This window comes from Homo sapiens, chromosome 2 (assembly GCF_000001405.40).
Source record: "Homo sapiens chromosome 2, GRCh38.p14 Primary Assembly".
Lineage (NCBI taxonomy): Eukaryota > Metazoa > Chordata > Mammalia > Primates > Hominidae > Homo > Homo sapiens.
In genome coordinates this window covers 127,119,616-127,145,727 of record NC_000002.12, presented here as the reverse complement: position 1 = coordinate 127,145,727, position 26,112 = coordinate 127,119,616, and the positions used below count along the sequence as shown (strand labels likewise).

The 26,112-nt window shown below is 46.5% G+C and overlaps 1 long non-coding RNA gene across 2 annotated transcripts in view, besides 2 other annotated features; it reads right to left on the bottom strand.

The window, feature by feature from the left end:
• Window positions 8,750–9,249: an enhancer, noted in NCBI's record as "H3K4me1 hESC enhancer chr2:127894055-127894554 (GRCh37/hg19 assembly coordinates)". NCBI's record gives its function as "activates a minimal SCP1, AML or CMV promoter by ChIP-STARR-seq in naive H9 embryonic stem cells {active_cell/tissue: H9 hESC(naive)}" and the evidence as "EXISTENCE:reporter gene assay evidence [ECO:0000049][PMID:30033119]".
• Window positions 9,250–9,751: an enhancer, noted in NCBI's record as "H3K4me1 hESC enhancer chr2:127893553-127894054 (GRCh37/hg19 assembly coordinates)". NCBI's record gives its function as "activates a minimal SCP1, AML or CMV promoter by ChIP-STARR-seq in naive H9 embryonic stem cells {active_cell/tissue: H9 hESC(naive)}" and the evidence as "EXISTENCE:reporter gene assay evidence [ECO:0000049][PMID:30033119]".
• The window catches only part of LOC105373605 (uncharacterized), a 28,682-nt gene continuing 12,471 nt past the window's right edge, over window positions 9,902–26,112 (bottom strand). For both annotated transcript variants that reach the window (XR_923311.4, XR_923310.3), the window contains exons 3-4: window positions 12,426–12,490; window positions 9,902–10,468 (exon numbers count right to left, since the gene is read on the bottom strand). This is a non-coding gene — a long non-coding RNA (uncharacterized LOC105373605). The remainder of the gene's footprint in view (window positions 10,469–12,425; window positions 12,491–26,112) is intronic.

Sequence of the window (26,112 nt, the reverse complement as noted above, 5' to 3'; positions counted from 1 at the left end):
GATGACTCAGTTAGAATGTCAGGGCCTTCTAAAATTAATCACAGCTGCCTCTGAAATCAGCACCTTGCATGAAGTCCCCAGCCCCTCTTGGCCCCACAGAGGTCTTGGGAACTTGAGGGAGCTGGTTCTGGCCCAGCACCATCTCTCAGCCCCTCAGACATTCATCTGAATTTAGATTTGCTAACAGGCAGTTTTCCTTCTGCTTTTCCTTTTTTTTTTCCTTCTAATCCTCTCCCTTCTAACTGCAAGCAAAGGCTATTTTTATGACCAGGGGTTTCATTTCTCAAAAGGAGGATGACAGGAGGTGGATATTTTAGTACAGTGTCCTAAGCTCTCATTAATGGAAGTTGGGTACAAATTTAATCCAATATATTCAGTTTTTCTTCCTCTCAAGATGGGTTTTTATTTCTTCTGAATAAAAAGGTTGACTATGAACATTGTAAATTCAGGTAATACAGGAAGTTCTACAGAAAAAAGGAATAATTGCTGGAAATCCCTTATCCAGAGAGAAACAATTGTTGGCATGTTGATGCATACTTATAAAAAACCCTCCCAGTGCTTTTCAAAAAACCCCCTAAAAGTCCATAGACTTGAAAAATAAAAATGCATAATTTGCATATATGGAAATAAATGATAATTCCAAGAAAGTCTTTGGCTTCTTTGTGACAAGAAAGTCTGTTGGAGGAAAGAAATCAGCTATTTGGAGGCTCTACATCAATGTCACTTTTAACCTTTCTCTCTGTCTGATTGTTAGATTATAAATTTAAATTTAATTCTTCTAGAAGACAGTTGGATTCATGTATATATACAAAAAGACAAACCTGCCGCGGCTGCAGCAAATACAATGGTAGGAATTTATCTTAGAGCAGAGTTTCCCAAGCTTTCTTGGTTCTTGGTGCCTTTAGTGTTTCAGAAATGTTTTCATGGCTTTTCCTAGGCCAAAAGAAGCACCTAATAGTTCCATTTAAGTAGTTAGGTCCAAACAACAATTTAGTAGTTGTTTTAAAAAAGTAATACACAGAATTTGAAAGAATTTTTTTTTTATTTCATACTTAAGTAACATCAGATGGCAACAATGGCCAATAGGAGGCAATGGAACAATGTCTTCAGTATTCCGAGGGACAGAGATTTGCGGCTTGAAGGACTGTTCATCAGAGGGCAGTGCCTGCCTCATCTGCATGCTGCCAGCACTGCTCCAGGGCTTGGCTCAGCCAGAGTAAATGCTCAATGCATCTGTGCTGAATAAGTGAATAAATAAACAAATGGATGAATGAATGAATTTTTAGGGTTGTCACACTTTCCAGTTTTTCTTCAAAGTCCTTGAAGAAGAAGGCGTTGGTCCCTGAAGCCCCAGCCTTGAAAGTTTCCTCTGCATCAGGAGCCAGGAAGGCCCTGGGGCAGACGGCCCAGGAGAGAGCACCGGGTGGGCAGGCCCAGGAAATCAGTAGCCCTTTGCTTTCAAAGCCTGGTTTGGAAGAGAGTATGATTCAGTGGTTAAGAGGCCACAGACCTGACTCCAGAGTCTCCCTGTGTCTCAGTTAAATCATCTGCAAAACAGGAATAACACTAGTCTCTGTTCTCATAGCGAGAATGACCTGTGTGTGTCTAACAGCTTCCTGGTACACAGCGTTCCTTAAATACTAGCTTTAATATTAGTGGTTGATCTCTTAGAACAACTTTCTGCTCTCTAAAATGGAAATGACAACATTGAGCTCTCAGTAAGAATTAGAGGCAACACTTGTGGGTCGGCCTCGTCTCTCCTCCGCCCACTGTGAGATGTGAGAAGGCTGTGATGGGCCTGTCTGTGCTTTCCCTGCGGGTCCCTGTCTCTCTCTGAACTTTCTCTCCTGACCCTCCTGGTTTCCACACTAAAGAGGAACAGGAAGTGAAAGCAATAAAAGTGGGAAAAGGGCCTTTTTCTTTAAATTAGGGATGTGCTCTGATGTTCACCTCCTCTGTGAATTTTTTTTTCTTTTTGAGATGGAGTCTTACTCTGTGACCCAGGCTGGAATGATCATGGCTCACTGTAGCCTCAACCTCCTGGGCTCAAGTAATCCCACCCCAGCCTCCTGCGTAGGGCTACAGGCGGTGCCACTACACCTAGCTAATTTTATTTTTGTAGAGACAGGGTCTCACTATGTTCCCCAGGCTGATCTCAAACTCCTGGGCTCAAGCAATCCTCCCACCTCAGCCTCCCGGTGCTGGGATTACAGGCATGGGCCACCGTTTCCAGCCTGTGAATTGATCTTGATTTGGGTTCTTTGAGAGCAGCCAGCAGGCTGTGCTGTGTCTGACATGTAGAATTCCTGGATAGCAAGGCTTAGAAGCAGGAGAACTAGCTCTTGTAAGATCCTGGCTCTGGTCACTCCTGTTCATTCCAGAGCTGAGGGATCCAACTGACCCTCTGTCTCCACTACCCTTGACTGCTCACTCCTGGAAATTCACCAGTCTACATGTGCTCTGCAGAGGTGAGAGGACCTTTGGAGGAGCAGAAGGATGGTGGCTGTGGAAAGCTGGTGACCCTCAAGTCCACTTACAACGGAGATGGCTGTGTGTGTGACATCCCCTTAGTGCTAGACTCAAGCTAATCCTTTGGGGAATGTTTGAGGTGGACCAGGGGCCCTCATTTTTTTCTCTTTTATACAGGTTAGGACTCCTAGGACATCAAGTGGTAACTCATCATTATCACCATCACACAGCAGCTGGAACCAGCAGCCTCACCAGGCCTTTCTCCTTTAATAATGACAAACATGGTGTGCAGTCTGGGCCACTTAATCCTGTTCTGCAGATGGGGACTCTGAGACATAAAGAGGTAAAGATCATGCAGGTGACAAAGCTAGCTGAAGATTAGTATTATGAGATATGAGAATAGTAACTGAAGGGTTGATTTGTAAATGTGAAAAATTGGAAATCAGCCTTGATTTCCAACAATAGGGTATTGATGTGTAATACAACCACACAGTAGGGTATTGTATAGCGACTAAGAATGATACAGCAGTATTTGTTGACCTGGGAACATTTTTCACAATATGCTTTAAAAAAAGATAGATAAGTGCTTATTAATAATATAGGTACAGGGACTCAAGTCAAAGTGGGGATATATTCTAAACTCTGGCGACCAATTTCCTAAACCATGTAGTTTTTGCTATAGAAAACATCTAGCTGTGGGTCTACTTGTAATACTCAGTATATTACCTTATTTCATATGCCATTTATTTTTTCTTTATGAAAATGGTGTCATTCATCTTTATTAATGTAGTTGAAATTCATAAACTTTCTGTGTGAATCATTTAATCAAGAAAAATGTGTTACGGGGATAGATTTTATATAAATGAGAATGAAATGAAATGTTTCATTAAAATATGTAAAAGTTGCCCAGTATATCTTAAGGAGAAATCGTATGTGTATAATATTATTGTATTTTTGTAAGATAAAACAAATGTTGTAAGACCTTAAAAATATTGTTAGGAGAAAAAAATACACGTATGCATAGAAAAATGTCTAGAAGGATAAATGCTAAAATGTTCATCCTGGACCTCTGCAAGATGGGGCTATGGGTGATTTTTTACCCCTTCCTTTATTGTTCACCTGTATTTTCTAATTTTTCAATAACGTTCATGTGTTACTTATTTAGAAAAGACAGGAGATGAATGTTTAAAGTGATGGATATGGTAATTACCCTGACTTGATCATGATACAATGTATATATGCATTGAAACATCACACTGTACCCCATAAACATGTATGGCTATTATGTATTAGTTATAAATAAAATATTAATAAGAAATAAAAAGATAAGGGGGGTACTGGGCTGGGAGTAAGGAGACTGCATTCTGACAGCAACTCTGCCTCTAACTGACTGTGTGATCCTGGGCAAGTCCTTTCCTTTCTGGTTTTCGAGTCTTCATCTGTAACACGAGGGGTTGTTAGCAGACAGGAAGTTCCGCGAGAGCTGGGACCATGTCTGTTTTGTTCTGGCAGTGTCTGTAGCACAGGCTATGCTCTGTGTATACTACATTAACGAGTGTGTGCATGAGTGAATGGAATTAGCGGCTGTGATCATTGGGAGAGTTTTGGAGACATGGCCTGCTGCAGTGGTCCTCCAGTGTGTTCCAGAAGCAGAAGCCCGGGAGGTTGTAAGGCTTTTTCTGGATGCTTTGGAAAAATCACGGGGCAGAGCTTTGCATTCGACTTACCCGCATGGGACGGCAGTGGGCTTAGTGTTGAACAGAGTTGAGTTAGGGACGTAGTGCTGCTCTTTGCCGGCAGTGAAATCTTGAGAAAATTTTGTATTTTTTTCTCTAAGCTTGTCTCCTCATTTGTAAATTGAGAGTTATTACTAATACCTAGCTCATAGGGTTGCTCTGAGCACTTGAAAAATCTATTTAGAAATTAGCTAAAAATGGCAGACTGAACCCCAACCACTTTTTCCTGTCCCAAACCCTTAGAAATACCAGAAAAAATAAATACATGTCATCCAAAAATGTTCTAGGAGACGAGAAGGGGCCTCGGTGGATTTAAAGTTGCGAGGAATTATTGAAAGAAGGAAATTGGTGGGGTTGAAAGGAAGAAACCACTGCCCAAAATACGTATAGGGAGACCTGCTGTCATAGGCAGTTTTGAAGGGAATTTAAGCTTGAAGATGGTGAATGGGGTGGTGGTGACTGGTAGGTCGTGGGTTAGGATGTTGCAGTAGGAACCACAAAGCCAGCCAGCTATCTACTCCTCCCACCACACCTTTCCCACTTAGCCAAATAGCAGGCAGCAGGGATCTCTGTCTCCCTCCTGCCAGTGTGAACGCCCAGCCTAGGGAGGCAAGGTGACACTCTGGACAAACGGACCTCGGATGCAGGCACACCACGTCCACCAGCTTGTTTTCCACCCACGGTCATCTCTCCCACACCGTGGCTGGAGGCATCACCCATAGACTGGGTAACAAAGAACCTCAAACACAAGACGAGCACACACCAGAGCCGCTGAACACTGAGGAAAGCACTGCCATGACTGGGACGCAGAGCACAGGAAACAGACTGATACCCAGATAAACAGCAAGCAGAGCACACGGACGAAGCACAGTTAATCTCAGAAAGCTGTGAGAGGAAACGGTGTGAGGCCTTAGAAATAAAAAAGAAGACGCTCAAAGGTATATTCAAAAAGGGGCTTTTGGAGTATGATCAGACTGGATGTAGGTCAATAATAGCATATTAGTGAACTGGAAAATCAAATTGAGGACTTCATCTAGAATGCCCCGCAAAAAGAAGAGATAGAAAGCATAAAATAAAAGTGAGGATATATGAAGACTAGATTCAGAAATGTTAATACCTTTTAAATAGGAGCTCCAGAAAGAGGGACTAGAGAGGTTGGATGTGGGGAACGCTAAGATTAATAGAGAAGGAAATTTCTCAAGTCTACAAAAGACAAAAGTCCTCATCCTGAAGGGGCCCACTTCATGACAAGCAGAACAGAAAATGATAGACTGGCTGGGCTGAAACTTAGAACATGAAGGATGGAGAAAAGGAAAACAGATTACTCCTAAGAGAAAGCAGACTAATATTAGATTTAGCTACAACACTGCATGTTGGAAGATCTTCAGAGACCCAGGGGAAATATTTTTAGAGATCTAAGGGACACATGTTTGAATCGGCTAAAGCCATCATTCAAGTGTGAAGGTAAAATATGTAAAGACAATTTCAGACATCCACAGATGAGAAAATGAGTCACCTTCCATCCTACCTGTAGGAGGAGGTACTTCAACACAATGAAAATAAATCCAAGAGAAAGCTACAGATTCAAGAAGCAGTGGTGAGTAAAGGAATTAGAATTTGCTGCTAAGTCTAAATGGAACTGGAACTAAAAGCTCAAGTGGTATTAACATTGCAGGTGGGGAGGAGAAGGAGAGGAAGGAAGTCCAAGTGGGCTAAGGTTTGTGCTTTGCCGAGCATAATGACAAGGGGCACTACACTTACACAGGCTATAAGGGAAAATAAAATAATGGACAGATGTTGGAGTTAAAATTTAAAGGTAAGCACTTAATCAGAAATTAAATGAAGAAGAGCTGGTCAATTGATAAAAAAGGAAAACCGTGGGGAAAAGTAGAAAGCATGGTACATATATTAATAAATATAAAACAATATGGCAGAAACAAGCTTTGACATGTCAGTAATCACAATAAATGGGAATGGTTTGAATTGTCTCATGAAAAACAACAAATCAGGAGGAAAAGAAATCCCTAAAATGCAGCTACATGCTATTTCTGAGATACAAAGAAATAATGACAGAAAAATTGAAAACGAAAGGATGGAAAAAAGGTACATCAAATATATGCTAACAAAAAAGGTAACAAGTTTAATAATGTCATAAAAATGGAATTCAAGGCAAAACAAAAGGAAAAAAGAAAATATTTCATAATGATGTAACAATTATGAACTTTTATTCATCTAACAACCTAACATCAAAGTATTGGGAGAAAAGCACACCATGCTGTTTTGTTTACTATAGCCTTGTAGTATAGTTTGAAGTCAGGTAGCGTAATGCCTCCAGCTTTGTTCTTTTTCCTTAGGATTGTCTTAGCTATGTGGGCTCTTTTTTGGTTTCAGATGGGCTCACAGGAAACTGGTCACAGTGTCTACTCCCAGGGAAAGAATCTGGGTGATTGGGGGATGAGAAGAAGAGACTGTTCTTCTACTCTATGCCCATTGGTACCTCTTAAAATAGATATTTCTTTGACCCAAAATGGAGATAAAATGCATAGGTACTGGAAAGGAAGAAAATTGTTTTATTAGCAGATGGTACAACCTTCTACTTGGATACCCAAGAACATTATTTGGCAAATGATTAAAATTAATGAAGGAATTTAGCATGCTGGCTAGGTTACAATAGCAACAAGCTAATGTAGGCCTTTCCTATGTTCCAGCAATAATCAAATTGAAAATGCCACCACCACCACCACAGTCCACTATTAGGGATTTACTTTCTTGAGCAGGCTGCTCTTTCAAACTGAAACTCTCCAGAAAAGCCATCTTGAATCTCCTGATGCCTCAGCTTGAACGTCTGTCTCTGGGGTGGCCGGGGCAGATGGGAGAGCCTAGCCCTGGGTGGAACCAGGGAGGAGGGATGGGGTCCAGAGCGGATACAGCCAGGGGCTGTGAAGACCTTGTTTCTGCCTTGAGTCTCCCTCGCCCCGGAAGAGTTGCTGTTTTAGGCAGGACTAAGTGCTGGCACACAGAGTGGGGGTCTGGGAGGCCCCCGGAGGAAAGTGAAGAGGGCATGCAGCCGCAGTCGTGGGACCCTGCTGTTGGGCAGTGGGAAAGGTGGCTGTGGCCAGTCGACCCTCCAGGCCTCCACCTGCCCGAAGCGCATGGCTGAGCACAGGGCAGAGTCCGAGGAAGGGAGGGTACATCCCAGCAGAAGGGTTAATGCCTAAACCAGTGGCTCTCAATCTCTGGTGCCCCCAGGGCCACTGTGGGGTGGGGGGTGGAGGTGGGGGTGGGATGTCTGCCTGAAAGGCCAGCGGGCAGCCCCAGAAGCTGACAGTGAGAAAGGCAGAGCAAAAAGATGTGCAAACCCCCAGGGTTGTGCCCCCCACCCTGCTGCCCCTGCCCCCGCATCCACCCCTGGCATCCTGTTGCAGTGAGGCCAAATGCCCTGGGGCTGGAAGTCCGTTTGGGCGAGGGTTCATGACAGGATGTTCTCAAAGGTGTTCCTCCTCACTGGCTGGTGCTGCTGCATAACTAGGCTCAGCCTGTCTGCTGGGCGAGTGGTGGTGACCAGTGACCTGCGTCCCACCCTGAACTTGGAAGACAGCTGTCTGCGAGCGCGGCTGAGGAGATGTGCCCAGCACTCTGTCCTGTGGCCAGCAGGGTAGGCCGTGCCCACACCCCCACGCGTGCGGAGTGGCTCTATGGGAGGCGGCCTCAAGGAATGGGTCGCCCCCAAGAAAGCTGATGTGACAGACACACCATGAGTGACAGGCCTAGTCCGCAGACACTGTCCTTGTCACACCCTGCCATCTAGGTGGATGTGAGGAATGGAGCTGAAGGAAGCGTGTGAAGAAACCCTGAGAGGGAGCGTCAGCATCTGGACATAGCTCCAGGACAAGGGCCGTGGAGTTTGGCCAACCATTGCCCTTTGCACTGAGTTGGTGTCACCCAGAACTTCCGAGTGGTCCTCTGGCTTCCTGTGGCAATGCCCCTGCCGCGAGAGGACGCGGCAGCTGCAGAGAGAGGGACAGGCCCCCGGCAGCAACATTCTCTTTGTCAGTTCATGCGCTGGTGTCTGGCTGGTGCTTGCGTTGTGATGAGCCCCCGGGCCTGTCCCCTGGGACTGGTTGACATCAGGGGCCCTTTGAGCTTGCCAGGGTGAGCCCTCCACATGGCATGCTGCCCACTCCCAGGCCAGTCCATCTTCTTCTGCTCTCCCAGCACCCCTCTGTGGGCTCGGGCCACGGTGCTGCAGGGGCTCTGAAGCGGGAGGGTGCTTTGGCCCTTGACTGGAGGGGCAGGTTCCTCCTCAAACTGCCTCCTGTCTTTCTGCAAGAAAAGCAGCTGCAGCCCAGTTCTGCAGGAGATTATTAGTATGTCAGGGACTTCAAAGGCTGAAGGGAAAGTTGCCACAAGCCCCATGACCAGCCTCCACTGCAAATTAGGCCTCGCTGGTGACCTAGGCACCAGGGACAGGCAGGTCTGAGGCTCTCAGAGGCTGCCCATGATGCTGCCCTGGCTTTCAGACCAGGACTTCTCCAGTGTCTCCCAGGGTCATCCTGGGAGTTAGTCAGGTCAAAGGTGAGATCCCTCAGCTCCCACACCCCACCCACACTGACCTAGCAATGTCCTTCCTGCCCTGCTTCTCTTCCGTCCCCATGGGGGCTAACACCCCTCCTGCACCCCTGGAGCTCCTGTTCTGTGGCTAAGATGTGGTTCCAGCATTAATCTTTGGGCAGACTTCCAAATCTTCCTTCCCCTATGGGTGGAAATGGACACTAGACCTTCCTGTAAGTCCCTTGGTCACCCCAGCCCTGTCTGTTCCATCTTGGGCATGGAGATGGGGTCAGCAGACTCCAGCTTCCCGCATGGCCCCTTTCAGGCCTTGGCTCTTCCTTCCTCATTCCTCCCCACCCCGTCCTCCTGTACGCGCATCCCACCCCAGGATGCCTCCTCTCTCCGTCTTCCCCCGTCTCCCACCCCACACCCTTCTCTGCTCCTGGATGCCTGGGCCCCTCCCACCCCAGCATCAGGGGCCAGCATGGCAACTGCTCACGTGGCCTCTCTGATGCTCACGATTCCCTGACTTCCCACCTTGTACTGGGCACTGGCAGGCACTTGCCCGCCTCATCTCATTTCTTCTGCATCAAAGGTGGGCCTGCTCTGCCCTAGGTGGTGACCGATGGATCGCTGCACGAAGGGTGAGGCCTTCATGCTGCTGGGGACTCTCAGGGCCTGGGTTTCGGGGGAAGAGGATGAGCAGGCCAACTTGTCAGGACAGGCATCCTGCAGTCCTGCAGCACAGTTAGGGGTTGGTGAGCTGGCTGTAGGATGCTGGGCATTGTCCATAGGTACTTCCTGAGCAGGCAGCTGAAATCTCCCCAGCCCTTCCCATCCTTCTGTCTTTCCCTCCCCTCATCCATCCATCCATGAAGCCATATAGCTTAGTGGCAGAGTCACAAACCCCTGCTCACAGGGCTACGTGGATACCATGAGTGAATGGAGTGGACCAGGAAGGGGGTGAAAAGTGGCCTTTGATTCTTGTCTTTGGTGTTGGAGGTACAATAGGGAGTGGTGAGGGCTGGGGCAAACAAGGCAGAAGAGTCTGATGTAAAGGGGTCAGCTGCTACCCAGCTCAGCCAATTATTCCCAGGAGGAAACATAAGCCCAGTGGAGCCTGATGTCCTAATTTTTCTAGAGAATTCAGAAATGTGAGATTTAATGTTAACTCTTCTGATTGCTAAATGTTGACAACAAATAAAATTTAAAACTCTGAGGAGGCCCCATGTGTGTGAATCAAGTGAAACCTGTGTACAGCCTGGAACCAGCCTGGGGCTAGCTCGCAGTCTCTGGCATGGGATCCAAACACAGGCGTTGCTGTCAGATTTAGACTTGTCTGACAGCAAGTCACTCAACCACTCCAAACCCCTGTTTCCTCCTCTGTAAGATGGGGTGAGATTCACCTACCCCACAGGGCTGGTGTGAAGGTTAGGGTAGATTATGCTTGAAAAGCACTGTGTACAACAGTCACCTAGAGTGCCTGCTCAAACGCAGGCAGCTGTCATTCTTATCATCTGTCGTGAGTGTCTGCTCTGGGCCTGGCCCAGTGGCAGGTGTGGCCTGTGAGGACTCTCCCAAGGCAGGGGCAGTCCCTGCAAGCCGGAGGCCGGAGGATGAGGGGGCCTTGTAGTCAGCATCGAGACTTCCCCTTCGCCTCTCCCTCCACCTTCCCGTTCCATCCTGTTTCTAGTCTTCTCTGGTTCCTTCTTCTGAAAGTAAAAAGGGGAAAAGGGTGTTTTTAAGAAGCAGAACAGAGATTTCTTTCCTTTTTAAAAACTCCTATTTAAAGTCCCAGTTTCCAGAAAAGTCAGCGTAAGTCACTGGCTATGCATAGGGAATAAAAGAAGTCATCTTAGTGGGGCTCAGGGGCGGGGGGTGGGGGGTCCCTGCACTCAGAAGCCTCTGCCCCTCCAAGTGTGTCTGCTCGGAGGGTGCTCTAGGGGATGAGGCGCTGCAGTTGGGGGGCAATTAGGTGAGTGCAGGGCCAGGAGACCCCTCGATTCCATCTGCACCCGTGGCAGGCTGTTCCCTTGCTGCTGGAGTTGGCCTCAGTTTCTGTTGTTTGCAACCAGAGGGACTTGTTTTGTTTCAGGGAACAGTGAGTGGCCCACATCCTCACAGACTGAGGAGGAGGTCACTGTGGGTCCCCAGTGGCTCCACTCTGGGTCTGAGCACCTCTGGGTCTCTTCTTGCCTGTTATGGTTTCATGGGGGCTATCAGGCAGGAGTGGGGGCCCTTGGACCTGCTGTGCTCCTGCCTGTGTGTGCTGCTCACTCCCGCACTCTCTCCTTCTCTCTCTCTCTGTCTGTCTCTCTGTCTCCCACTCTCTCTCTCTGTCCATCTCTGTCCCCCAGCACTCTGTTCTCTCCCTCCAGGGGTGCCTCCGCTTCCCACCTTCCACTTCAGTGTCCCTTGCCAACCAACTGATTTTCTTTGAGCTTCTCATTTAAAGAAGAAAGGAGCCTGAGGGGAAGAGGTCTGTAGACACGTCTTATCATCTGGGCTCAGCGCTATCATAAATCATGTCTGGTGCTGGCCTGCTCATGCATCGATTGCCCCAGACAAGAATATTTATTTTACAGAATTGTCTGAAGAACACTCATTTACTCCTAGCCCCAATGCATTCATGTCTGTATCCTTAGAGTCAGGTTCACATCAGAGTTCAGTGATTATCTGTTAAGTGGATTTGTTTGTGAGTGGTGGGTGTAAGCATCAATTAGGAAGGTTTTTGCTACAAGAAACAGAAAATTCTTTTGCTAGAGGCCAAACCAGCGAACTGGCTATGTTGGTTCAGCAAGCCCTGATGTCCGTGGAGTCCTGTCTGCAGGCCTCTTGGGTTTTGCTCTTGCTTGTTGCCTCATGATTTCAAAAGACTTGCTGTAGCTCCAGACATTGCATTTGTGTTCAAGGCAGCAGGGAGGGGGAAGAGAAGGTGCCAGCTGCATATTTCCCTTTAATCAAGAAAAGCATGCCAGGTGTGGTGGTTCGTACTTGCAATCCTAGCACTTTGGGAGGCCAAGGTGGCAGAATCACCTGAGGCCAGGAGTTCAAGACCAGCCTGGACAGCTTAGTGAGACCCCCATCTCTACAAAAAATAATAAAAAAAATTAGCTGGGTTTGGTGGCATGCACCTGTGTTCTCAGCTACTCAGGAGGCTGAGGTAGGAGGATTGCTTGAGCCTGGGAGGTCGAGGCTGCAGTGAGCCAGGATTGTGCCACCGGATTCCAGCCTGGGTCACAGGGTAAGACCCTGCCTCTTAAAAAAAAAAAAAAAAAAAGGAAAGAAAAAACAAACCTTTCCCAATTCTGGAAGATTTTCACTCAAGTCTCATTTCCCAGAACTGTGTCAAATGTCCACTCTGTTGCAGGAGAAGCTAGTAAAGCAAGTCTCTACCTTTCCCAGGCTCTTTAGGGGAGGTGGCAAGGGACAGGGGATGAAATCCTCACTTTTCTCTCTGCAGTCTGCCTTAGGTTCTCCTGCCCTCCTCTTTCTGATGGGACTGTGGGGTAGAGGCATTTTGGGGGCTTATCAGGAATGTGCCTGGAATACAGTACACGAAAGAGGAAAGCCAAGTGCAGAATCTGGGCCTGGGGCAGGCTCTTTGTGTTATTAGAGGTGTGACCCTCAGCTAGTTCCCTCCCCGGACCTTGGCTTTTGTCTCCTTACCGAGCTGTTGGATGGGGTGGTGTCTGAGAGCCCCTGTAGATCTTACGGTCTGGCTTCGTGAGGTCCTGTGTGGAGGCCAGAGGGAAAGAACACAGCGAAGGCCAAAAAGAAAAAATACGCATGTATCTGAGGATATATGCGTTGATAGAGATATATTTGTAGGCAGCTGGAACTGAAAAATGTTAGATTGAAGCATCCCCCGTGCTGGGTCAACCAGATGGAAGTGAGCAGGCTGTGGTTACGTGTGTGGCCGGAGCAGCAGCGCTCAGCACGCTTGGTGTGGCTGTCAGGCTCAGGATGGCTGTAGCGGCCATGGCTGGGCCAGGGTGTTGGGGGGCACAGGGCAGCATGGGCAAGCCCTTCACTCTGTCATGGGAACGCGTCAGGGCATCGGGGCTCCTTCCTCTCTGCCTTTTCTATTTTTTTTTTTTTTTGAGATGGAGTCTCGCTCTGTCGCCCAGGCTGGAGTGCAGTGGCGCCATCTCAGCTCACTTGCAAGCTCCGCCTCGCGGGTTCACGCCATTTTCCTGCCTCAGCCTCCCGAGTAGCCGGGACTACAGGCGCCCGCCACAGTGCCCAGCTAAGTTTTTGTATTTTTAGTAGAGACGGGGTTTCACCGTGGTCTCGATCTCCTGACCTCGTGATCTGCCCGCCTCGGCCTCCCAAAGTGCTGGGATTACAGGCGTGAGCCACCACGCCCAGCCTCTGCCTTTTCTTTCTAGGGAGGTGCTGATTTATTATTAGCCCTGAATCAGAACATCTGTTCTTTACTGAGCTTGTCTGTGTTTTCTGCTCTTTCTAAAATTGGACATGTATTATCCAAAATTGCAAAAAAAAAAAAAAAAAAAAAAAAAAAAAAAAAAAAAGCACACACACACACAGATACCAGAAGATATATATGTAAAATAAATCAAATCTTACCCTCATCATACGTTTAAATACCACTCACCTTCGGATCACTAATTGACTCACAAAAGCCAAGTCTGGGCCTGTGTTAGTATTTGTTGTCTTTCAGAGGAAAAAATTATCACTTACCCCAAATGTGGAAGTGTGGGCTTAAATTATATTTTAAAAATAGCTTGCTAAAATATTATTATTTTTAATTTGTGAGAATGATACAAGCTTCTTATAAAGAACTCATTTATAGAAATATTAAGAAACTAAATTTGTAAATTTTTAAAAACTAACTTTGTACATTTTCTTGCTATTCAGGAAAGAAGACTCTACAACAAACTTCACTGCGACATGTTTACTTGAAACTATGGCCTAAATGGTTTTGATTATTATGTCTTTTGAATGTATACAAATATAAAATTAAGCATACACTTCTTATGCTGATAGCTCTTATAATACTATAAAACCAAAGCACATTTAGAAATCATATATCAACAATTATACAAAACCAATAAAATACAAAATAGCAACATTAATTTAACATGAGGGCTGATAATGTTTTAATGAAAATGAACAATTTATAGTATCACTAGCAGGCATAAGGCTTTCTTTTATTTTATTGTTTTTTTTTCGTCTTTGTTCAGCAGGTTTAGTATTCTGACATATTCTAAGGTCAAAAAAATGAAAAACAAGTCTTAAACTTCGCTTGATAGTTTTAGTCCTCCGAGTAATATCAGTATTGTAATTTTGGAACTATTTGATGCATGTTGTAGGTGAAGGTAAATAAGTAAAAATACTAACTGAAACTAAGATTTTTTCAGCTTAAAGGAAAAGATATATGAAGATAAAATTAAAAAAACGTTAAAGGGGAAGAAACCCTATAATATTAAAGCTGAATTGGAAATATTAACATGGTTTTTCAAATGTCAATTTTCTGCAAACTACCTGGACTGGGTGGTTCATAAACAACATATATTTATTTCTTACAGTTCTGGAGGCTGGGAAGTCCAAAATCGAGGCACCAGCAGGTTTGGTGTCTCGTGGGGACCCACTTTCTTGTTCCTAGATGGCCGTTTTCTCTCTGTGCCTTCACAGATGGCAGAAGGCAGAAGGGAGCTCTCTGGGGTCTCTTTTGTATAGGCACTAATCCCATGACCTAATCACCTCCTAAAGACTTCATCTACAAATCCTCTCCATGGGGTGATAGGATTCTAACATGTGAATTTTTTCAGGGGACACAAATATTTAACCTATATGAATGAACCTGAAGTATGTCAGGAAAAAAGGGACCATTCTGTGTTGGAAAATTTCGTGTGTCACCTTAAACTATGGTGCCCAGTAGTTTTGTCAAACAGGAGTCTAGATGTTGCCATGAAGGTGTTTTGTAGATGGATTAACAGCTACAATCTGTTGACTTCAAGTAAAGGAGTTTACCCTTGATAGTGTGAGGGGACCTCATCCTATCAGTTGAAGGCCTCAAGAGCCAAAACTGGAGTTTCCTGGAGCAGAAGCCATTCTGCCTGATTGTAGCATAGAAACCTTGCTTGCATGTCCAGCATGCTGGCCTGCCCTACAGATTTCAGACTCGCCTGCCTCCACAAATGTGTGAAGCAAGTCCTTAAAAAGAATGTGTATATATATGTGTGTATGTATATATATATATATATATATCTCACACACAAACACACACACTCACATGCCCCTCCTTTGGGTTGTGTTTCTCTAGGGAACCCTCACTAAATCACTTTCAAAGACTAATAGGGGCATACCAAAAGGACAAGGAGCCAGCTAGAAGGGACTCCTGCTGGCCAGATTTGAGATAATATAATATGAGCATCAAAAAGAATAAGGACTGAATTGATTGGAAACATCGAATAAATAGAAATCCATGAGTCCATAGCAAGTTTAAAAAGAAAGAGAGAGAAAGAAAGAGGGGAAATCCGTCTTGTTTGCCCACATCGATGACTATTCTATCAATTCCGTATTCTGGAAATAAAGAGAAGGAATTAAGCATTTATACTATTTTTTAGCAAGAATGCTTTTTAGAAAGATTGACAGAATTAGAAAATAACCACTTGGCAAACCCCAGTGAAATAACTGATTTGGAAATCGATCATCCAGGGATGGTTAAGCCACTAGTTGGAGCTTGCTGGGGGTCAGGATACTTGCGTGGTGCCAAATGACCATCCCGCAGCTCATCTGCTAATTGCGAGATGAAAATAAACCTTGACGACGGAAGGAGCAGGTTGTCACCAACTCTGCCAAGTGATCAACCCGAATCTCATGAACAACGGGACCAGCTGACGTTAGGCACCTCCTGTTGTAAAGCAGTGTGAAGAGTGTCTGCTGAAAAGGATCCAGAGCTGACTTCCAGTTTATGATAAGTCCAGGCGAACAAGTTAAACCAAAGGCCAAGGAAACAACATTCAGAATATGGAACGTTCTTTAAGAAAACTGACCTGGTTTCCTCAAACAGGTAATATCATATCGTCTCAAAAGCTGGTGGGGGCTGTTCAAAACAGCCTAAAATATCCTAGCAACAAATCCAATGTGTGAACCTTAACTGAATCCTGTTTTTAACACCGTTAAAAACACCAGTGTGACAACTGGTAAAGTTAAATTAAATTTAATGTGGATTAGATATTAGATAATAGATATATTATTGTTAAATTTCTAAGGCGTGATAATGGCAGTGTGTTTATGTAGAAATTCTTATTCTTAGGAGTTGCACACTGAAATATTTATTTATGTATTTATTTATTTATTTTGAGACGGAGTCTCCCTTTGTTGCCCTGGCTGGAGTGCAGTGGTGCAATCTTGGCTCACTACAACCTCCACCACCCAGCTTCAAGTGATTCTCCTGCCTCAGCCTCCTCTGTAGCTGAGATTACAGGCGCACACCACCATATCCAGCTAATTTTTGTATTTTTTAGCAGAGACGGGGTTTTGCCATGTTGGCCAGGCTGGATTTGATCTCCTGACCTCAGGTGATCCATCGGCCTTGGCCTCCCAAAGTGCTGGGATCACAGGCATGAGCAACTACACCCAGCCCACACTGAAATCTTTAGGAGTAAAGTGTCACCTGCAATGAACTTTCAAATGGTTCGTATATATATTTATAATAAATATATAATTTTTCACCACAGATATGTGTGACAAAGTGGTCACAACTGTTGCATGGAGATCATGGGTATATGAGGGTTTGTTGTGTTATTTTTTCCATTTATTTATGTTTGAAATTTTCCATTAGGAAAAGTTGGAAAACAATCGGTAAAACCCATAAAATAAAATTAACAACATAAATTGAATGTGATGAAGGATATTGCTTTATTATCCTCTTTGCAGGGGTACAGGCTGTTGCTCTGTTTTAATTTACAGGTTTAGCTGGCATGCCCATAGAACTTGGTGTCAGGAGAAGACTCAATTCTCCAACTACTTTACCCAAACTATTGTGAAGCTTTTTTTTTATGGGGCATTATGAAGTTGTTTGGCCTTCTCTTGACTTGACGCCAACTTTGACATTATGAAATCTGCCCTGTTCTCTTACATTTACCTGGAGACACAGAATTCTACTCGGTGCCAGTATGATCTTAAACAGAAACTGAAATTCCACACAGATGTGGCCAACAGGACCTCACTGTCACGTGGTCAGGCAGGTAATCCAGGGCGCCTGCACCGGTTGCCTGCTTTGCCTCCACACTGGCAGCAGGGTGGTCAGAGTGCTGTGTCTGCTTTAATACTCACTTCCCCAGATCTCCTTGTTGCTAAGCATGGTGCGTGACCCAGTTCTGGCCAACAGGATGAAGGCAAAAGTCACTCATTGGGCGGGGCTTCTGGATGTCTGTACAAGGGACACCCTTGGGGGGCTGTCGCTTCAGCTCTTTACTTTTTGCCCCTCCCCTCCTCCCTAATTAATGCAGGAGGCACAGCAGCTGTCCTGCAGCTGTGAGGACAAATCTCTCACAAACTATTCTCAGAGAGACTGAGTTGGAAAACGGAAGGAACCTCTGTCCTTGATGACACCCCTGCACAATTGCATCTGCCCAAGGCTACCTTTCTGCAGACTTATTATTATATGGGAAAAATAAACTCTTGAGTGTTTAATCCAGTGTTCATTGACTTAACCTACAAAAAAGATCTTCTCAAATGATTCATTCAGAAAATACTGATGTTAAATGTTTAGATGATTATATATGGCATGAATATGGATGCGAAAATTCTTAACAAAAATATTAGCAAATAGAATTCAGCAATATATACAAAGGTTATACATGATGACCAAGAGGGATTTATTCCAGCGAGGCTGGTTTAATATTCAATCATATGATCCTATCGACTGATCTAGAAAAAGCATTCGGCAAAATTCAACACTAGTTTATGATGAAAACTCTCAGAAAACTAGGAATTTAGGAGAACTTCCTCAACTTGATAAAGAACATCTACAAGGAACCTACAGCTAATATACTTGGTGTAAGACTGGTGCTTTCTCCTTAACATTGGGAACCAGGCAAGGATGCCCACTCTTACCAGTGCTATTCAACATAGTACTGGAAGCTCTAGCCAGGGCAGTAAGTCAAGAAAAGGAAATTAAAGGCATACAGATAAGAAAGGTAAAAATAAAACTATCCCTATCTGTAAATGACTTGATCATCTAATAACAAATTCTAATGAAAGTAGTCAAAAAAGATCTAAATAAATGGAAGATATATAGTATTCATAGGTTGGAAGATTCAACACTGAAAAGATGTCAGTTCTCCCCAGACTGATATACAATGCAATTCCTGTAAAAATCCCAGCCAGAAATTTTGTAAATATAGCCAAAAATTTTGTAAATATATACAAATTTTATATTTGTAAATATAAAATTTAGGATTATCCTAAAATTTATATGGAAAGGCATAGGGCCTGGAAAAGTTATTCCATTCAACCAACCCAAACTATTCTGACACCAGTGAGGTGTACTGCAGGACAATTCTGGCAGAAGCTATCCAGAGTTAGCACAGATCTCACAAATTAAAGGGCATGGACCTCAACAAGGACTGCTTTCTTCCAGACACCAGCCACAGTGGGGTTCCCAGGACACCTGCACTTCTGACCAACTGGCTACAAACCTGGGGGGTTCCCATGACCTCCTCAGGTTCAAGAATTCACTAAAATGACACTCAGAACTCAGGAAACCACTATATTTATGATTACTGTTTTTTAAATAAGGGATACAAATCAGGAAAAGCCACATGAAGAGACACATGCGGAGAAGCCTGGGAGGTCCTGGATGTGGATCTTCTGTGCTCTCTCCCTGTGGAATCAAGATGCATCACCATCCTGGTACGCCAGTGTGTTAACTAATCTGAAGGCTCCACTGAGCTTCAGTGTCCAGACTTTTTTTGGAAGTTTCATCACACAGGCATGACTGATTGAATATGGATCATCTGATTGAATGCACTCTCCAGCCCCCTCCTTTCTGTGGAGTTTGGGCTGGCTCAAAGTCTGGACCCTCTAACCACATGGTTGGCCTTTCTGGTGACCAGCCCCATCCTGAGTCATTTCATCTCTCGTCATAAACCCAGGTGGGATCCAAGGCGCTTGTAAATAACAGACATTCCCGTTCCTTGGAAAATTCTGAGTAGTTAGTCTCCTTCCCAGGAACCAGGGACAAAAGCCAATCAAATTCTTTATTATACAATAGCTAGAGCAACTTCAAAAAGGAAGAATAAATTGGGGAAAACCTCTCTACCTGCTTTCATATAGGTACAGTAATTAACTCTACATGGGATCAGCAAAGGAACAGACACACAGATAAAGCAACAAAATAGAGAACCACTCCCAAAAAAGAGAATCCAGAAATAGCCCCTCAGAAGTGTTGCCAATTGATTTTTGACAAAGGTGCAAAGGTTATCAATGGAAGGATGATAGTCATTTCAATGACTGGTGCTGGAGCAATTAGGTACTGAGAGGCAAAAAAATAGACCTTGCCCTAAACTTCACATCTGTTGCAAAAGCTGACTCAAAATGGATCATAGATTAAACGTAAGTTATAAAACTAGAAATCTTTTAGAAGGCAATATATGGAAAAATCTTTTGGACCCAAGGCTTGGTGAAGAGTTCTTAAATATGACATCAAAAGTACAATCCTTGAAAGAAAAAAAATGGATCAATTGAATTTCATCAAAATTAAAAAATTTTGCTCTGCAAAAGACCCTCTTAGATGGATAAAAAGACAAGCTACGGACTGTGAGAAAATATTTGCAAACCACATTTCCTACAAAGGACTATTATCTGGAATACATAAAGAGCTCTCAAAACTCAACAGTGAAAAAAAGAAGCAATCCAATTAGAAGTTAGGCAGAAGCCATAAAGAGACATTTCACTGAAGAGGAGATACAGATGGCAAACAAGCACATAAAAAGATGTTCAGCATCACTAGCCATTAGGAAAATGCAAATTAAGACCATGATGAGATATCACTATATGCTTATTAGAACAGCTAAAATGGAAAACAGTGACAACACCAAATGCTGGTGAGGATACAGAGAAACTAGATCTCCCATACTTTGCTGGTGGGAATGGAGAATGGTACAGCCAGTCTGGAAAAGAGTTTGACAATTTCTTAGAAAACTAAACATATACTTGTGATACGATCTGGCAATTGTACTCTTGGGTGTTTATCTAGAGAAATGAAAACTATGTTTACACAAAGGTGTGTACACCATTGTTCAAAGTAGTTTTACTTGCAATAGTCAAAAATTGTAATCAATGTACATGTTTCCCAATAGGCGAATGGTTAAACTGTGATCCATTCACCTACACCATGGAATACTACTCAGCAATGCTGAAGAATGAACTACTAATAGATGCAACAGCTTGGAGCTTGGATGGCTCTAAAGGTGTGGTTTTCAGTGAAACCACATACTTTATGATTCCATCATACAACCTTTTTTTTTTTTTTTTAAGACAAGGTCTTGCCCTGTTGCCCAGGCTGAAGTGCAGTGGCATGATCATGGCTTACTGTAACTTTGAACTCCTGGGCTCAAGGGATCCTCCAACCTCAGCTTCCTGAGTATCTGAGACTATAGGTGCATGCCACCATACTTGGCTAATTTTTAATTTTTTTTGTAGAGGTGAGGGTCTCACTATGTTGCTCAGGCTGGTCTCGAACTCCTGGGCTCAAGTGATTCTCCTGCCTTGGCTTCCCAAAGTATTGGGATTACAGGTACAAGCCACTGCTCTTGGCCATACAACATTTTTTTTTTTGAGACAGAATCTTGCTGTGTTGCCCAGGCTGGAATGCAGTGGTGCCATCTTGGCTCACTGAAACCTCTGCCTCCCAGGTTCAAGCAATCCTCCTGCTTCAGCCTCCCGAGTAGCTGGGATTACAGGCATGCCCCACCATGCCCGGCTAATTTTTGTATTTTTAGTACAGATGGGGTTTCACCATGTTGGCAAGGCTGGTCTAGAACTCCTGACCTCAGGCGATCTGCCCACCTTAGCCTCCCAAAGTGCTGGGATTGCAGGCGTGAGCCACCATGCCCAGCCCATGTAACATTCTTGAAATGACAAAATCTTAGAAATGGAAAACAGGTGAGTGGTTGCCAGGTGAAGGGTGGTAGGGGCGGATGTGACTGAGGGGTAGCACCAGTCACCTAGCGGGGTGGTATTTCCATCGTGGCAGTGGTTACTATTGTGGCAGGCCAGGTCTCACTAATGCAGGCCTCCGTAACAACTGTTTCAGTACTGAGTGGTTAAGTTAAATATTAAAAGCCAGTGCCCTTATGAAAAGGCTGGAATGTAACAAAGAGCCCACCAAGAGTTTTGCCTAGGTCTTTCCTGGGCCTTAACGCATGACAACGTAATGAAGGAATTCTTAACAGGACCCATTTAGGATTAAATACGTTTTATCGTGGGTCTGAAGAAACTCCCCAGGCCCCACAAACAAGCTTATTGAGAGTCTGAAGGAACTCCCCAAACCTCCATGATTCAGCAGGAGACAAGATAAGGGTAATCACCCCAGCACCTGGACCCATTTAGATTAAGTAAATTTACTGAGGCTCCAGAGGAAGGTCTTCAGGACTCAGACCTTAGTTATAGATTAAAAGAAGTTAATCACTTATGTCTTTAGGTGAATGCACACTTACACATAGACATATAGCTTAGAAGGTAGGCTGGGCACAGTGGCTCACGCCTGTAATGCCAGCACTTTGGGAGGCCGAGGTGGGTCGATCATCTGAGGTCAGGAGTTCAAGACCAACCTGGCCAACATGGTGAAACCCTGTCTGTACTAAAAGTACAAAATTAGCCAGGTGTGGTGATGGATGCCTGTAATCCCAGCTGCTCAGGAGGCTAAGGCAGGAGAATCGCTTGAACCTGGGAGGCAGAGGTTGTAGTGAGCTGAGATCGTGCCACTGCACTCTAGCCCAGATGAAAAGAGAGAGACTCTATCTCAAAAAAAAAAAAAAAAAGAAGGTATATAAGTTCTGGAAAACTTAGTAATTTTGAGTTGGTCTGGTGATAATTTCCAGACCTTCTCCCTGTAACCGGTTGCAGAAATAAAAACTTTCTTCCCACTTTGGGAGGCTGAGGCAGGTGGATCACGAGGTCATGAGATTGAGACCATCCTGGTGAACATGGTGAAACCCCATCTCTACTAAAAATACAAAAAAATTAGCCAGGCATGGTGACGGGTGCCTGTAGTCCCAGCTACTCAGGAGGCTGGGGCAGGAGAATGGCATGAACCCGGGGGGCAGCGCTTGCAGTGAGCGGAGATTGACCCACTGCACTCCAGCCTGGGAGACAGAGCGAGACTCCATCTCAAAAAACAAAACAAAACAAAAAAAACCAACTTTCTTCCTCCCCAGTTCATCTGCATCTCATTATTGGGCCACAAGACATAGCAGCCCAACCCTCATTTTGGTCTGGGAAATGATCTACACATTTGATAAAATGACAAAGACCTATACACACATATTGTACCAATGTCAAATCCCTAGGTTTTATATGATACTGTAGTTATGCAAGGCATCACCATTGGGGGACCCTGGGTGAATGGTACACGGGATCTCTCTATATTATCTTGCAACTTTCTGTGAATTTGTCATTATTTCAAAATAAAAAGTAAAAAAATATAATGCAAAATAAAGACTTCTTGGCTGGGCACGGTGGCTTACACCTGTAATCCCAGCACTTTGGGAAGCTGAGGCGGGTGGATCACCTGACATCAGGAGTTCCAGACCAGCCTGGCCAACATGGTGAAACCCGGTCTCACCCTGTTTCACAAAAGGTGAAACCTTTTGTATTTTGTAAAAATACAAAAATTAGCTGGGCGTGGTGGTGCAGCACCTGTAGTCCCAGCTACTCGGGAGGCTGAGGCAGAAGAATCACTTGAACCTGGGAGGCGGAGGTTGCAGTGAGCCTAGATTGTGCCACTGCACTCCAGCCTGGGCAACAGAGCAAGACTCCATCTCAAAAAATAAATAAATGAAATAAAGACTTCTTCAGAAAAAAAAAGATAATAGAGCATATGGGCCTTTCTGTGCATCTCTGTCCGCCTCCAAGGCCCGCTGTCTGGTTGCTGTTGAGGGTGCACTGGGGAAATGAGCAGCACCCTCCCCAGAGAAGGGCTTCATCCAGTCAGAGAAGGAGCAAGGAGAACAACCTTCCTTCCCCCCTCCCTCCAGCTCTCCTCCTCTGCTTCTCCCAGGATGCACATTTGAGTGCACACGCGCCAGATGGAGATCAGTGATAAATAAGGCGGCACCTCCTTGTTGGGAGAGACAGGGGCTAATAGGGTGGAACAAGTGCTGTGAGACCTCATGACAATCGTGCTGGCCCAGCTGGTGAACCTGAAAGGCTTCCAGGATGGTAAGGATCTTGAACTGGGTCTAGAAAGATGAGTGGGAACCAGTGAGGCAAAGTGCAGCTTGTGCCGAGGCCTGCAGGTGAGGGTTGGCAGGCAGGGCTGGGGCTGGCTTGAAGCTGATGTGCAGGGAGAGGGAGGAGCAGAAATAGGAGGGAGCTGGGCCGAGGATGGGGCTGGGGGTGGGCGTGTGGGAGGAAGGGCTCTGTACTAATCTAAGATATTAGGAATTTATCTTAAAATCTCCTTGGGGAGGCAGTGAGGGGCAGGAGAGTTGGATGGTCAGATGGACATTTTAGAAAAATCTCCTCTGAGCAGAGGAGAGGGCAGGTTGGAGGGGGAAGGCCAGGGTCCAAGCAAGAGAGCAACGCAGGCAAGAGGTGGGGAGGCCTAAAGGAGGGCAGGCTACGGGCATAAGCACAGCTCAGGAAGATAGCCTTGGAGGGAGGTGTCGACACATGCAGCTCTAATGGGGAGTGCATTACAGAGCACCATGGGAGCTAAGTGCCCCAGCCAGGCCTCCTCCAAGAATCCTGGAACCCAGCTCCCTCCAGGCTGCCAAAATGACCCCACCTGGACCCTGGGGCAGGGTGGGCCTAGGCCTGAGCTGCCTCATAACTCTCCAAGATGCGCCGCCAAGAGCAGGCTCACTGCTTGGGAATGCCTTAGTTCCTGCAGATGGCCTGCATGAGGGCCAGCCTTTTAGAATGGTAAGTCACAGTGTTGGCTGCAGGGACCGCCCCACCCCGAGGCAGATTCAGCTGCAGTGAGTGAGGCCCCGGAGAGGTCTCACTCGAGGCAGTTGCTTTCCTCTAAAGATGCTAAGTTTGTGGGCCAATTTTAGATGTCTACCCTTGCTCAGGGTGCTCTCCTACTTGTAGGAATTTTGGCAACAGGCAGCACTTTATTCTGTTAATGATGATCTTCGGTCTCCTTCCAGACTGTGGGCTGTATGTGGGCAGGGACTTAATGGATTCTCTTCTGTGCATGTCCCCAGTGTCCAGGCTTGCTCAGGGCTCAGTGAATGCTGACTGGGGAGATTTTACTGCCTAGGAGGCAGAATTCACATCAAACAGCTGTTTTTGCACTTAGAGGCAGCCTGCACTAGGTCCTAACTAGACTGCAAAAAACACCTTCATCTTTGAGTTTACAGTGGGGTTTGCATAAATGATCATATGTAAATATAGCTATACACAGAATAGTATTTGGAATGCTAGCCAACAAGTGGTCTCCCCTCCACGTTTCCTGTTACCTCTCCCCTCCTTGTTCAAGCCAATGAGCTCTCTGCCTTCATGACCTCCACGAATGGGTCAAAATCTTGGCTTTTGACTTCTAAAAGCCCGGCCCGGTTTATAAACCAGCAGACTGGGGACAATGCCGGATGAGTTATCCCAGAGGAAGGTTTCCTCCTGCCTGACCAGAACAGCATCCTGAGGGCAGGATCTTTAAGAATCAGAGAGGAAGTGAAGGAAACTTGGATGTTTCTAGGTTCCCAGGAGAGACCCTAGACCCAGGACCAATCCCCAGGGGTGGGGAGAGGGCGACAGAAATCCCAGCTAGGATTAGGAGAATCTGAGAGCAGAGAAGACCTTGCCTGGAGCTGCCCCCAGCAGTCCTACAGAACAGAAGGCAGGAGAAACATCTGCCCCAGTCTGGGCAGTAGGCTTCAGGAAGCCTCAAAGTGTTGTCCCCAACCGCAAACGGGAAGGAGAAGCAAAATGACTCTTTATGTCTGTCTGCCACCTACCTGAGACACCCACCAGAGTTGAGCATCCTAAGGCCTGCAGGATGTAGACTGTTTCCCCATACCCTGAAACAGACCTGGGGTGCAGCTGTATAGGTGACACTTGAGCTTGAGGGAGGGCCGAGGAGGGAAGGAGCACCCCAACACGCCATGCATGGAGTATCGGCTGGGGGACAGACAGGAGGACCAGCGCTTTCTAAGAATGGGGGCAGGGGGCAGAAGTGACCTAGGGTGAAAGAAGGACTTGAGGCGCCGGCGAGCGCCGCCCGGGAGGCAGCGGCTGGAGGAGCGGACGGGCCCCGCGGGGCCCGAGGGCAAGGAGCAGCCGCCTGCTTTGGCCTCCCAAAGTGCCGAGATTGCAGCCTCTGCCCGGCCACCACCCCGTCTGGGAAGTGAGGAGTGTCTCTGCCTGGCCGCCCATCGTCTGGGATGTGAGGAGCCCCTCTGCCTGGCTGCCCAGTCTGGAAAGTGAGGAGCGTCTCCGCCCGGCCGCCATCCCATCTAGGAAGTGAGGAGCGCCTCTTCCCAGCCGCCATCACATCTAGGAAGTGAGGAGCGTCTCTGCCCGGCCGCCCATCGTCTGAGATGTGGGGAGCGCCTCTGCCCCGCCGCCCCATCTGGGATGTGAGGAGCGCCTCTGCCCGGCCGAGACCCCGTCTGGGAGGTGAGGAGCGTCTCTGCCTGGCCGCCCCGTCTGAGAAGTGAGGAGACCCTCTGCCTGGCAACCACCCCGTCTGAGAAGTGAGGAGCCCCTCCGCCCGGCAGCTGCCCCGTCTGAGAAGTGAGGAGCCTCTCCGCCCGGCAGCCACCCCATCTGGGAAGTGAGGAGCGTCTCCGCCCGGCAGCCACCCCGTCCGGGAGGGAGGTGGGGGGGGGGGTCAGCCCCCCGCCTGGCCAGCCGTGCCGTCCGGGAGGGAGGTGGGGGGGTCAGCCCCCCGCCTGGCCAGCCGCCCCATCCGGGAGGGAGGTGGGGGGGTCAGCCCTCCGCCCGGCCAGCCGCCCCGTCTGGGAGGTGAGGGGCGCCTCTGCCCAGCCGCCCCTACTGGGAAGTGAGGAGCCCCTCTGCCCGGCCAGCCGCCCCATCCGGGAGGGAGGTTGGGGGTCAGCCCCCCGCCCGGCCAGCCGCCCTGTCCGGGAGGGAGGTGGGGGGGTCAGCCCTCCGTACGGCCAGCCGCCCCGTCTGGGAGGTGAGGGGCGCC